The sequence below is a fragment of the Homo sapiens genome, chromosome 2, assembly GCF_000001405.40.
Source record: "Homo sapiens chromosome 2, GRCh38.p14 Primary Assembly".
NCBI classification, from domain to species: Eukaryota; Metazoa; Chordata; class Mammalia; order Primates; family Hominidae; genus Homo; species Homo sapiens.
This window is the reverse complement of record NC_000002.12, coordinates 55,172,003-55,185,091: the sequence shown is the minus strand read 5'-3', so window position 1 is coordinate 55,185,091 and position 13,089 is coordinate 55,172,003. Positions and strand designations below refer to the sequence as shown.

The window sequence follows — 13,089 nt, the reverse complement described above, 5'->3', positions numbered from 1 at the left end:
CCTTTACCATTATTTTAATGATTTTAATGAACTAAAATTGAATGTGTGTGTTCAGTCTACCGTCTTTACCTGAAAGTCTAATTGAATTGTCGTGAATCTTGTTAATCTATAGTAGGTATAGGAAATCTTTGTGTGTGTGTGTGTGTGTGTGTGTGTGTGTGTGTGTGTGTGTTTTGTTTTTTTTTTTGAGATGGAGTCTCAGTCTGTCACCCAGGCTGGAGTGCAGTGGCACGATCTCAGCTCACTGCAACCTCCGCTTCCTGGGTTCAAGCGATTCTCCTGCCTCAGCCTCCTGAGTAGGTGAGATTAAAGGCAGGTGCCACCACACCTGGCTAATTTTTGTATTTTTAGTAGAGACAGGGTTTCACCCTGTTGGTTAGACTGGTCTCGAACTCCTGACCCTGTGATCCACCTGCATTAGCCTCCCAAAGTGCTGGGATTACAGGTGTGAGCCACCGCGCCTGGCCTAAGAAATCTTTCATCTTCTGCCATCATATGTGTGTGTAAATGTATATATATTTAACTTATCACAAAACATGAAGAAGATAGAATGTTATAAAATGTTGGATAGGAGGCACAATATCTTTGTTTCAATGTTATCTTTACTATACACTTGCATTGTGTTCTTTGAGCAAGCTACTTTATCTACTTGAAACTCAGTTTTATTACTTGAAAAACAGGAATGTTGGCCAGGTGTGGTGGCTCATGCCTGTAATAGCAACACTTTGGGAGGCTGAGGCAGGCAGATTGCTTGGCCCAGAAGTTCAAGACCAGCCTGGGCAACTGGTGAAACTCTGTCACTGCAAAAAATACAAAAAATTAGCCGGCCGTGGTGGCACATTACTATAGTCCCAGCTACCCAGGAGGCTGAAGTGGGAGGATCACCTGAGCCTGGGAAGTTAAGATTACAGTGAGCCGTGATCGTGCCACTGCACTCCAGCCTGGGCAACACAGTGAGACCCTGTCTCGAAAAAAAAAAAAAAAATAAAGAAAGAAAGAAAAGAGAGAAAACAGGCCGAGCATGGTAGCTCACGCCTGTAATCCCAGCACTTTGGGTGGCCAAGGCAGGCGGATCACGAGGTCAAGAGATCGAGACCATCCTGGCCAACATGGTGACACCCTGTCTCTACTAAAAATACAAAAATTAGCCGGGCGTGGTAGCACGCACCTGTAGTCCCATCTAAATGGGAGGCTGAGGCAAGAGAATTGCTTGAACCTGGGAGGCAGAGGTTGCAGTGAGCCGAGATCGCACCATTGCACTCCAGCCTGGCGACGGAGCGAGACTCCATCTCAAAAAAAGAAATAAAGAAAAGAAAACTAGGAATGTTAATGATACCCACCTTGTTAGGGTTATTGGTTAAGACCAGCTGATAATTTCAAAGCACTATACAAGCTTTAGGGGTTTTTAGCACCATGCCACTTATTCAGAATTAATTTTCTTTACAATACAGTATATCTGAGAGTTGAGAAGTAAGTTTAAAAAGTCTGTGAACAATAAAAAATAGGTATTATATATTATCTTGTGAAAATCCATACATTTCATTAGTAGACCCTCAATCGGACGCAGAATCTATTTTTTATTTCATACCTGGTTTTACCAAGCTTTGATCTATGAAACTGGATCATAGATCAGTTAGACTTGATAGAGTCTAAAGTTCAAGCTAGACTTGACAGAGTACAAAGCAAGAAACAACTTTATTCTTCCTCGCCATTGCCCTTTAAAAGGGCTGTGTTGGCGTTCCTATTTCTTTTACTGGATAATATCTTGGTCATGTCACATAGCTTTTTTTCACTCGCTTTTAGATATTAATAGTTTTATTTTTAGGTACCCAAAAGTCTAGTCTAAACTAAATAGAAACTGCAATCTCTTGTTTAATCTAAAATTTTTCCCCTTACCCTGGTTAGGCTCTGATTTGGCTCTAGAACCTATTGAGGCTCAGGAGACATGTTTGCTTCTTCTTTACTCTGCTACTCTCTCCTCTTCTAATCACTAGGCAGCTTTACAGTGGGGTTATATAAGGGACAGGAAAGGTCTTACTCAACTGGTGCAGTGGTCATTAGGCTTTGATGTTTCTTGGGTGTGGTAGATGCCCAATGTTGCCTCCTAGTTTACTGCTTTAGTCTTTGTTTTTTAGGGCCTTCCCTCACTGGGGACTTTCCATTGTGCCTTTTATTGATTCAGGAGGTATTACTTTAGCTGGCTGCTAATGATTCTGGTGGTGTGTACCCCCAAAGACTCTCTCAGGTGGGGTTATCTGGTCTGCATGCAGACCTCTCTGAGAGAGCCTTTTCAAGACAACCAGCCTACCCGCCTTTCATGGAATCTCCTTCACCCTTAAGGAACATGCAATCTTGTGAAAGTAGAATTTGCTCGTACTTTAATTCTCTTTACTCACTCTAGCCTTTCACCTTTAAACTTTCCAGGCAAATATCAGGCTCTGGTCTTTTTGTTCTCTAAATTCCAAGACATCCATATCCAGTAGTTCTCTCTAAACTGTCTCACTTGACTTTGAGGAGGAGAATTAAAGAAAAATCTAGGAAATAAGATATGGTGGTAAATTTATTTTCTGCTCACAAAAAGGAAAATAATCTGATGGATTAATTAAGAGTTCAAATTGACAGTCTTCCTCCCCTGCAAGTTCAAGCATTGAGTGTACATACAGCTTAATAAAAAATGAATTGTAGTCATGCTGATTTGGGATTGACATACTTTTTTGGTCACTGGCTGAATCTACATGTAAATTTCAGGATCCTAATTTGTCATCCTCATTGAATTATTTTCAAAGTTAGGGTATGTTAGACTAAGTATATTCCTTTAAATGTCCAGTTTTATATTTGCCTCATTTGATTGGTCATTAAAGCAGGATAGTTTGCATTAGGAATTTTATCCTCTGTGTATCTGCAGCTGCACCTTTTGTTCTCTTCGGTCATAGCAAATTGGCCTCATTAACAGCAGAACCCTATTACTTAAAAGAAAAATATATTCGCTCACAGTTCTGGAGGCCAGAGCTCTGAAATCATGGTGTCAAGGGTTCATTCCTTCTGGAGGCTCTAAGGGAGATTCCATTCCATGCCTCTCTCCTAGCTTCTGGTGGTTGTCAGCGATTTTTAGCCTCCCTTGGCTTGTAGCAGATCATTCCAATCTCTGCCTCCATCTTCACATGGCACGTGATATTTAGTCATTTAGATAAAGTTTAATCTATAAGCATGAGTTAAAAATTATAAATGTGTAATTTTAGATTGTTAAAGTTTTAGAAAAGCAAAGGCACAAAAATAGTAATATGAGATAAGAAAAAGCAAACTATTTCTTAAAGTATTTGACTCAGAAAATTTTCTCCTTTCTGTAGCTGTTGGAAAAATTAGAGGAAAGCCTCTTCCATTACTCTTATTTTTTGAGGCCCTCTTTATCACAAGTCATGCTTTTCCATGTCCTGTTGATGCAGCTCTAACCCTGGAAGGAATCAAATGTGGATTATCAGAAAAACGGTTAGATTTAGTTACCAATTGGGTTACACAGGAAAGGTAAGCAAAGTTAAGCTTTTAACTTAATTTTGACATTTCGTTAATAAAGTTGTTTGTTCTAAAAATATTAATAGCTTTATCAATATGTTACTTGAACATTTACTTCAGGTCCCTATTGCAATTAATCAGAAAGTGTTTAGTGGTCGGGTGTGGTGGCTCATGCCTCTAATCCCAACACTTTGGGAGGTAGAGGTGGGAGGATCGCTTGAGGTCAGGAATTCAAGACCATCTTGGCCAACATGGTGAAACCCTGTCTCTACTGAAAATACAAAAATTAGCCAGACGTGGTGGCCAGGTGCAGCAGCTCACACCTGTAATCCCAGCATTTTGGGAGTCCGAGGTGGGCAGATGACTTGAGGTCAGGAGTTCAAGACCAGCCTAGCCAACATGGTGAAACCCCATCTCTACTAAAAATACAAAAATTAGCCAGGCATGGTGGCGCACGGCTGTAGTCCCTGCTACTCAGGAAGCTGAGGCAGGAGAATCGTGTGAACCAGGGAGGCAGAGGTTTCAGTGAGACGAGATCGCGCCACTGCACTCCAGCCTGGGTGACAGAGCGAGACTCAATCTAAAAATATATATATATATGCATTTAGTTTCCTGTAGAAATCTAATTTTCTTAGCAAATACACCACTACATTCCAAATAACTTTATTTTCATATTGACTATTATCGGGGTGATAGAAATTGACAAGTAATCATTTCAATTACATAATCAATTGCCTATTAAATTGTAACTTGGAATTCTTACAGGTAGTAGAAAATCCAGTCCTACTGTGCTGAATTTTCAAATATTTCAGTCTCAGCCACTCATCAGGAATTTTCTAACATATGTCTTATTGATCTGCTTGTTCTAGACTGACATTTTCTGAGGAGGCTGGGGATGTGATTTGTGATTATGGGGAGCAGGATACTTATAACAAGGCCAAGTGCCTGGCTTTAGCTCAGATTGTCTACAGTGAATGTGGCCTGCACAAGAAAGCTATTCTTTGCTTGTGTAAACAGGGTCAGACTCATAGGGTCATGGAGTACATACAGCAGTTGAAGGACTTTACTACCGGTAAGTTAAAAAGTCTGCCATTTGTATACATTTGAATTCTGGGCTTTAATTGTAAGATTACCCATAATAGCAAGCACTACTTTAAACTTACGTTATAAAATCAATTTTATATATACCAATAAGTAGGAGATTTCTTGTGTAATTTTTCATGAACATAGTAAGCTGGAGCTGATTGGCTTTCATGCTGGATATTCAAAAATATTATGTATTTCCTCAAAATACAAACATTTAATAAGCCAGATAGTCCTGGAAATATACAGTTTTAAAGATAGATTTAGCAGATATACTAGAACATACTACATATATGATTTTTAAAAATAACTTATTTGTGAGATATATATATATATATTTTTTTTTGAGATGGAGTCTCACTCTGTTGCCAGGCTGGAGTGCAGTGCTGCGATCTTGGCTCACTGCAAGCTCTGCCTCCTGGGTTCACACCATTCTCCTGCCTCAGCCTCCCAAGTAGCTGGGACTACAGGTGCCCGCCACTACGCCCGGCTAACTTTTTGTATTTTTGGTAGAGACAGGGTTTCACCGTGTTAGCCAGGATGGTCTTGATCTCCTGATCTTGTGATCTGCCCGCCTCAGCCTCTCAAAGTGCTGGGATTGCAGATGTGAGCCACCGCACCCAGCCTGTGATATATAATGTTTTGAACTGTAATATAAGCATCAGAAATGAAGAATTTCTAATTTATTTCAAAATTTTAAAACACAATTGAACAGTAATCTGAGATTACAATTGAACGGTAATCTGAGAGAACTGTGGACCTTAGGGTGACCCTAGTTGGAAGAGCAGAGCTCTTATTCTGGATCTAGTTTGGCAATAACTGTAAGTACAGGCATTGCTGACATCTCCCCATCCCCCAGGCCAGTGCCTGTCCTGATTTGCAGGCTATGTATCCCAGTTCTAAGAAGATGCAAAATGGAACCAAACATGGCCATTTTTAGGTCACATTATTCCAGGAAAAAGGAGTTTTAGTAGTTGTTGAATCTGGTCATTTTCAAGCAATTAATTGACTTTTTCTTAGAATCTATGTTGTTGTTTTTTTAAGTTACAAATTTCTTCATTAATAACAGCATGCCCTATACTATTATTGTAATAATAGCTAGGCTTTTTTTCATGGATTATCTCACTTAATCCTTATGTTGACTCTATGAGGTAGGTTTTGTTATTGTCCCATTTTATAGATGCAAAAATAGTATGTTTCCACAGAGAGGCTGAGGCACAGCTAGAGCTAAGTGATTTGGTTATGTAGTGACAGGACAGAATCTGGCATAGTAGGTATTAATTAATATTCCATTACCTAAGTATACAGTTTCAGTTTCTGTGTTGTTAACTATTATTTTTCCATATGTAAGAATTATATTAGTTAATGTTTAGACATGGGATATAGATTTTAATTACTCTTAGAATTTAAAAATTTTAGGGATGGGTCTGTAGTCCCAGCCACTCAGGAGGCTGAGATGGGAAGATCGCTTGAGCCCAGGAGTTCTAGGCTGCAGTGAGCTGTGATTGTGGCACTGCATTCCTGCCTGGGCATCAGAGTGAGACCTTATCCAATAATAATAATAATAATAATAATAATAATTTTTTAAAAAATAAAATGGATTTTGAAATGTAGTAAGAAAAAGGGAGACGAGGAGTTCAAGAGTAGCCTGGAGCAACATAGTGGGACCCCATCTCTATATATTAAATACATTTTAAAAACCCAAGGCTTTCAGAGTTCAAATTATGTTTCGGGTAGTCCTTGAAAGGCTCTCAGAAGTTATTCTGAAAATTACCTCTATTGTGGCCGCAAAATAATATTTTTACTTTAAAATATTTAGGAAGTTAATACCAAGTTTATAAATTTGAGAGTATAGAGTGGGGCATGCCTGTAATCTCAGCTACTGGGAAGGCTGAGGCGGGAGACTGCGTGAGCCCAGGAGTTTGAGGATACAGTACACAATCATTATGCCTATGGTGAGCCATGCACTCCAGCCTGGGCCACACAGTGAGACTTTGTTTTGAAAAAATTTAAGAATACAAATCATAATTGTAGCTTTAGATTACCTCAATGGTTAACTATTGGGTTAACCCAATAGAGATTAACCCATATGGAATTGTTCTTTTTGTGGCCAAATATAGGAAACTTCATATGGTTCCACCTCTGGCTACTTGAAATAGCTACTGGCTTCTTAAAGTTTTCATTTTTGAATTTCTAAATGCTTGATAGTTTTAGGAAAAAAATTACTGAGTTGCTTTTTCTGTGCAAGGCACAGAAAGAAAGACATTATACTCACCAGAATTTGGTCCAAATATGAGCAACAAGATATAGACAAACAAACTGTAGTATTAGATGGAGACCTCTAATACTACACTTTTCAGATGTGAAAACTGAGTTCCAAAAGAGTAAGTGACTGATGGAGCTATGATTAGAATTCAGGTTTCCTAGTAGCCAATCTGTATTTTTATTATACCACATTTTTTTCATTATAATTATTTGATTATGTTTTGGATACTCTTATGGGTAGTTTTCCTTTGTTTTTTGCTATGCTGAGCATGATTTTTTTTGACGGGGGCTAGGGGATAGTACCGTTGAGTTTAGGTTGGAGTGGGTCATTGAGGGCTTTGAAAGGATTAGAAAAACTGTTGATTGGCAGGTATAGACATTAGCTAGTCCTAGTTTCTAGTTGATTTATGATATTAGGACATTGAGATAAACTTTTTCATTTTTGCCTTCAGATGACCTGTTGCAGCTATTAATGTCATGTCCCCAAGTTGAATTAATTCAGTGTCTCACTAAAGAGTTGAATGAGAAACAACCATCTTTATCTTTTGGTCTTGCTATACTTCATCTGTTCTCTGCAGACATGAAAAAAGTTGGCATTAAGCTACTTCAAGAAATCAATAAAGGTGGGATAGGTAAGTAGAATAAAATGTTGTGGGAGAAATAGTAGTGGGTTATCTAGGGAGAGGTTCAAGATGGTTATGCATGAGTTAACTCAAATTTCCCTAAGAGTTCCTTCTTAGCAAGAGTTAACTTTAGGAGTTTATAAATGTAAAGATTGCCATGTAAATAATAATCTATTGGTAATAGGATATATTTCTTGAGAGAATTAGAATGAAGGGAGTATCTTTATGAAGCTTGAGGGGAATATTACAATAATTATGATCACTAACACTAAAAACTTTGTATATATTGACATATGTGTATATTTAGCTTTTATATGTATTTTAAATGTTATGTAGATATAAACTATATGTTTTAATTCCTAAACCAAATGTATGTGTATTTACATATGTTATTCACTCTGAACCTAACTCTGCTGTGAATTAGAGAATAACTAATTAGGCTGGGTGCAGTGGCTCACCCCTGTAATCCCAGCACTTTGGGGGGCTGAGGCGGGTGGATCGCTTGAGCTCAGGAGTTCAAGACCAGCCAGGGCAACATGGCAAAACCGTGTCTCTATGAAAAAGATACCAAAATTAGCCACATGTGGCATGCACCTGTAGTCCCAGCTACTTGAGAGGATGAGGTGGAAGGATCGCCTGAGCCCAGGGAGCTCAAGGCTACAGTGAGCCGTGACTGTGCCACTGCACTCCAGCCTGGGTGAGACACTGCCTCAAAAAAAATGAGAGAGAGAATAATTAAAACTCACTTTTATTTTCTTTTCATTAATTTAATATAGGAAGTTGAACAGACAACTTCATTTTAAATTACTTGAAAACATATTTTGGAAGATAACTTTATATTTTGAAATTATCATTACAGATATCAACTAAAATATTTTCATATAAAAATAATAATTATGGTAGAAATAAAATTATAGTGATGACAGTATTCTAAAAAGTGATCCTCTTTTATGAAGTACCATAAGTAATGCAGGTAATAGATAAGAAATGAGTTCCATAAATTGATAGATCACTAAGATATTTTTAAAAGTAAATAATATTAAATTTCTTTAACAAACAAAATGATTTTATTTCCTTAAGAAAAATATTTGTTATAGAAGCCCCATCATTAAGAGTTCTCCAGCTAGAGACAGGATAAAGAGTTTGTCAAAGAGTTTCTTCAGTCCTTGGGTTAGCTCCACTAAGGCATTTATATAAGTGTTTGAAATCATGAAAACTTGACCTATAGGTTTACAGTTATTTCATAGTTTCTAGTGGTGCCTTATAGACTCTGTGAATAAGGATGAGCCCACATTCATCACTTTCTGAGCTCCTGCCTTATAGCCTTCAACATCTGCTGCCTTAACAAGAAGGAGATGAGTGGAGATGTGAAATGTGAGAAGTGGTAGAGGGTTGAATTGAGACATGAAGAGGTTAATGATAAGGGAGGAGGAGAAGGAACTAACACGAGTACTTACCATGAGCTTGACTGAGCACTGCATGTTATATCATTAATCTTAGGGGAATCAGGTAGAGTTTAACAGTAACTGAGTTGAAATTATGTCCTTTTCTATTTTTGAAGAATCACTAAAGTATAGATTATCAAATAAGTGCCATACTATAATATTGTATTTTTTCCCCACAGATGCAGTAGAAAGTCTTATGATAAATGATTCCTTTTGCTCCATAGAAAAGTGGCAAGAAGTGGCAAATATATGTTCACAGAATGGCTTTGACAAATTATCTAATGACATCACGTCTATTCTTCGATCTCAGGCTGCAGTTACAGAAATTTCTGAAGAGGATGACGCAGTCAACCTAATGGAACATGTGTTTTGGTAGTTCTATATCTTAACCAGCTGAGGGAGCTTGTACAACACCTTATGTATGCTGGTTGGGAAAAACTGATTTTAACGTAACTAACTTATAAATAAATCTAGAGTAAGAAGATCTCAGAAATAAATCACACTTTTGTTATGATGACATTTAGATTTGTCTTTGAAATATTTATACTATTGCTTCCTTTTCCCCATATGGTCATTTCTTATATTGAATCTTGATAAAATCCAAGATTATAACTTTGTGTGAAACAGTGTAGGGCATTTTTATCTAAGGACATAAGCTAATGTCCAGATATATTACTTTCTGGTGATGTAATATGATAGCAAGAACTGAGGAAGGTGTGGGTAGTATCCTGTGTGTTAGACTGTCTTCCCAAACATGAAATGCTACAAGCCTGACTTGACCAGAAAAGCAGGAAATCATTTCAAGGTTGGACTTGCTGGCAAAAACCTAGAGTATAGTAATTTTGTACTGCTGATTTAAAGATGCGCCCCATGCTTTGATATATATAAATATGGCAAAGCTTAGGCTTCTAGTATAAAAGCTGGGACTCTTGGCATGTTATTACTTAGAGAGAAGACCAGTCGAATTTTGCATAGAAGTAGACCTGTGATACCTATAGGTATGGAAAATATGTCATAAGAAGTGGTTTTGGATTATTTCAAGTGTCTGAATAAGTATTTGATTGAAAACTCTGAAAGTTCTGTGCCATGGACAGGTGTAATATTAAAAATATTTAATGATTAGTATGGCATGGGCACAAATCAAGCAGAACAGATACCTAATTAATCAGAACAGCCTTTAGCCCTTATGCCACACCAGAGCTTACTAGCTAAATGTCATCCTTGACCATGGAACATGGTTAAAATGAGCTGCTGGCTGGGCAAGGTAGCTCATGTCTGTAATCCCAGCACTTTGGGAGGTCGAGGCAGGAGGATCGCTTGAGCCCAGGAGTTTGAGACCAGCTAGGTAACACAGTGAGATCCCGTCTCTGTTATTAAAAAAAGAAAAAAAAATTTCAAGTAAAAAATGAAAATGATCTGCTATTAGAATAAGAGCAAAGAGCATAACTTTTCCCATCCTAAATTTAAATTGAATATGTATTTTTATGTTATAGTGGAAAGAAGATGAACGGGGAGTCAGACAGCTTCATATTAAAATTCTGGTCCTACCTCTTACTCACTTATAAAATATGGGCAGTCTTCCTTAGGCTTGTTGTGAGGATTAGTGATAATGTATGTGTAGTGTAAGTGTATAACATGATAGAGGAACTTAGGAAAAGATAGCTGTAATTCCTTTGTAATCGGCCCCAGAAACACACATTTCTCTACTTAGTTTGTACTTACTAAATCCCATATGTCTACTCATTTGTATTTATATGTTTATCCTTCTTTAAAGTATTTGATATATTGGTACAACTTATTGCTGAGATTAAGTTATCTGTCCACACTTGTATTAGGGTTGCCTGGCTTATCTTATAAATTCAGAAGCATTCAAGCTGAGTTTTTAATTTTTCCATTTGGTGCTAAATAGAATACTGGATAATTATAATTCAGCTTTCTAAAACGTAGCATTTTTAAAGTAATACATGTGCATAGTTTAAAAAGCAATTTATTACTAAAAGCCTTATCAAAATAATATTTTGATTTTTGGCCTTCATACAGGCTGTTGAAAAGAGCAGATAAAGGATGGAAAAAAGGAATGGAAAGGGAGAGGTATTTCGGCAGCACTGGTTCTTTGTGTGCCAACGGCTTAAAACCTTTTTTTTTTTTTTTTTCCTTTGAGACCTATATGATTGATAGAAAGCTATTATGTGTCCATTGACAGAGCTTAGAAAAAAAAATGTCTTCATGAAAGCCAGGAGGATAAAGTAGGTATATAAATCTAGAGAAAGCTTAAACAGCGGTTGTTGTTGTTATTCTAATTTTGCCTTGTTTTTCCTTTTCTCATTATTACTCCTTCTCAGTTAGCATTGCCTTTGGCAGCTTTCCCAAGGAAAGTAAAAGTTGTCAAGTGAATATAAATTAAAATGCCTGGTGATGGAAAATGGAGTTGGGAGGAAGAGCAAGATTACAAAGTTAAATGAGGAAGGAGAAAGAATTGAGTTGTGAGCTACAGAGGGCTTTGAAGCTATAAGAGCCTCCATGTAAGCTACACTGAAGGAGGTATAATCTGGGCCTCAGCACAGAAACCTGCATTCTAGACCAGCCCCACCACTGTCTAGCTATGTGTCCTTTTCCTCATGCTTAAGATAAATTTATTTTGACTAGATACCTCCTCTTGTCATTTCCAACTCTAAAATTCAGTAATTCTGAAAAGGTACAAATTATTTCCCAATGCTTCTTGACCTTCAGCCTAAATTTCAAATACTACAATTCAACATCAGCATCAACAACATCTACCGAATACCTGTTTTGCACACAATTTCTGCTAGCAAGATTACAACCTTAATGGAAACACACAACGTATTTTAAAAGTTACTAATAATAATTCCTTAGCATTATCTAATAGCCAGTCCATATTCAAATTTCACCAGTTGCTAAAAATGCCTTTTAACATTTGAATTGTTCCAATGAAGATTTAACCAACGTTCATGTGTTCTATTAGGTCTTGCTGTCTTGAGCGTGTCTTCTCTCCTTTTTTCCTCTTGCCATTGATTGCTTTACATAGCAGTTGCAAAGCAAGGGTCATGATGAACTAAGTTTCTCTGATTTCATATTAGGTTTTCTTTCTACCATACCAGTGAGGAAAGGAAGATATTTCTTCCAAGGTCTGAAAGATTTAATTGTAACTAGTTACATTTTTGTTTATTATAGTCAAGCATGTATCAAAATGAATTTCTATTAAATTCATTCATTTGGAAAGGTTTAGAGATGTTGAACAGAAGTCTAGTCTAATGAAAAAAATTTTTTTAATATTTAGAACTTTTCCTAAATCCTGAATTAACTAAGAAATGACCATTAAATTAATCACTTTTTTAACTTTAAAAGGTGAAAACCTGTTACTTTTTAGGTGCCTGGAATTCTGTTGGATTGCTAAAGCATATGTTAAGTCAAAAATCATAGCAGAGGCCTTTTTTTTTTTTTTTAACTTTGTACATTTCATAGAAAGCTCATACATTTCTTCCATTCTTTCTCAGAAAAAAATGGCATTTAACAAATGTTCGGTGTATAAAGCTGTCAGTTTGCTAGTAGTTATAATTTGTTGTGTTCTTGAATAAAAATATATTGGGTACATAAAAAAGACACTATTATTTATATAGTTTTTTTAGTTTTTTTTTTTAATTGATAATTTTCTACAAGTACCCTCCCTACCTTGAGGATCTGCGTCTACCTATAGAGGTTTTGGCACTACTGTAAATGAGTGAAATGTATCACAGTCAGGGAAAGGAGGATCTGGGGACTTTTTGAAAGGGACAATTGTGATAAATTCCAGGCAACTTTTATTATGCAGGGCTGTGGACTCGGTGTTACCTTCTTGGAAGCTGGACATGCAGATTTGATGTGAGCAGTACTGTGTGGGCCAAACAAAACACATCTGCAGACCAGACTTGACCTGCAGGTCACTAATTTGAAACCTCTGTCCTAAACTGAGGCTAAATTTGATTTCTTGTTTCCATCAACTTTATTTTTTTTTATTTATTTATTGAGACAGTCTTGCTCTGTCACCCAGGCTGGAGTACAGTGACACAATCTCAGCTCACTACAACTTCCACCTCCTGAGTTCAAGCGATTCTCCTGCCTCAGCCTCCTGAGTAGCTGGGATTACAGGTGCCCGCCACCACACC

At 37.2% G+C, this 13,089-nt stretch overlaps 1 protein-coding gene across 17 annotated transcripts in view; it reads left to right on the top strand.

The window, feature by feature from the left end:
• CLHC1 (clathrin heavy chain linker domain containing 1) overlaps window positions 1–12,545 on the top strand; it is a 60,017-nt gene extending 47,472 nt beyond the window's left edge. For 14 of the 17 annotated variants that reach the window (NR_148543.2, NR_148541.2, NR_148540.2 and 11 more), the window contains 4 exons: window positions 3,348–3,522; window positions 4,380–4,582; window positions 7,311–7,490; window positions 9,106–12,545. Coding sequence is in view for 11 of the 17 variants with exons in the window: in NM_001135598.2 (NP_001129070.1) it covers window positions 3,348–3,522; window positions 4,380–4,582; window positions 7,311–7,490; window positions 9,106–9,302 (755 nt within the window). In the remaining 6 variants the exon portion in view is untranslated. The remainder of the gene's footprint in view (window positions 1–3,347; window positions 3,523–4,379; window positions 4,583–7,310; window positions 7,491–9,105) is intronic. The other 3 variants (NR_148542.2, NR_148538.2, NR_148539.2) reach the window with 2 other exon arrangements.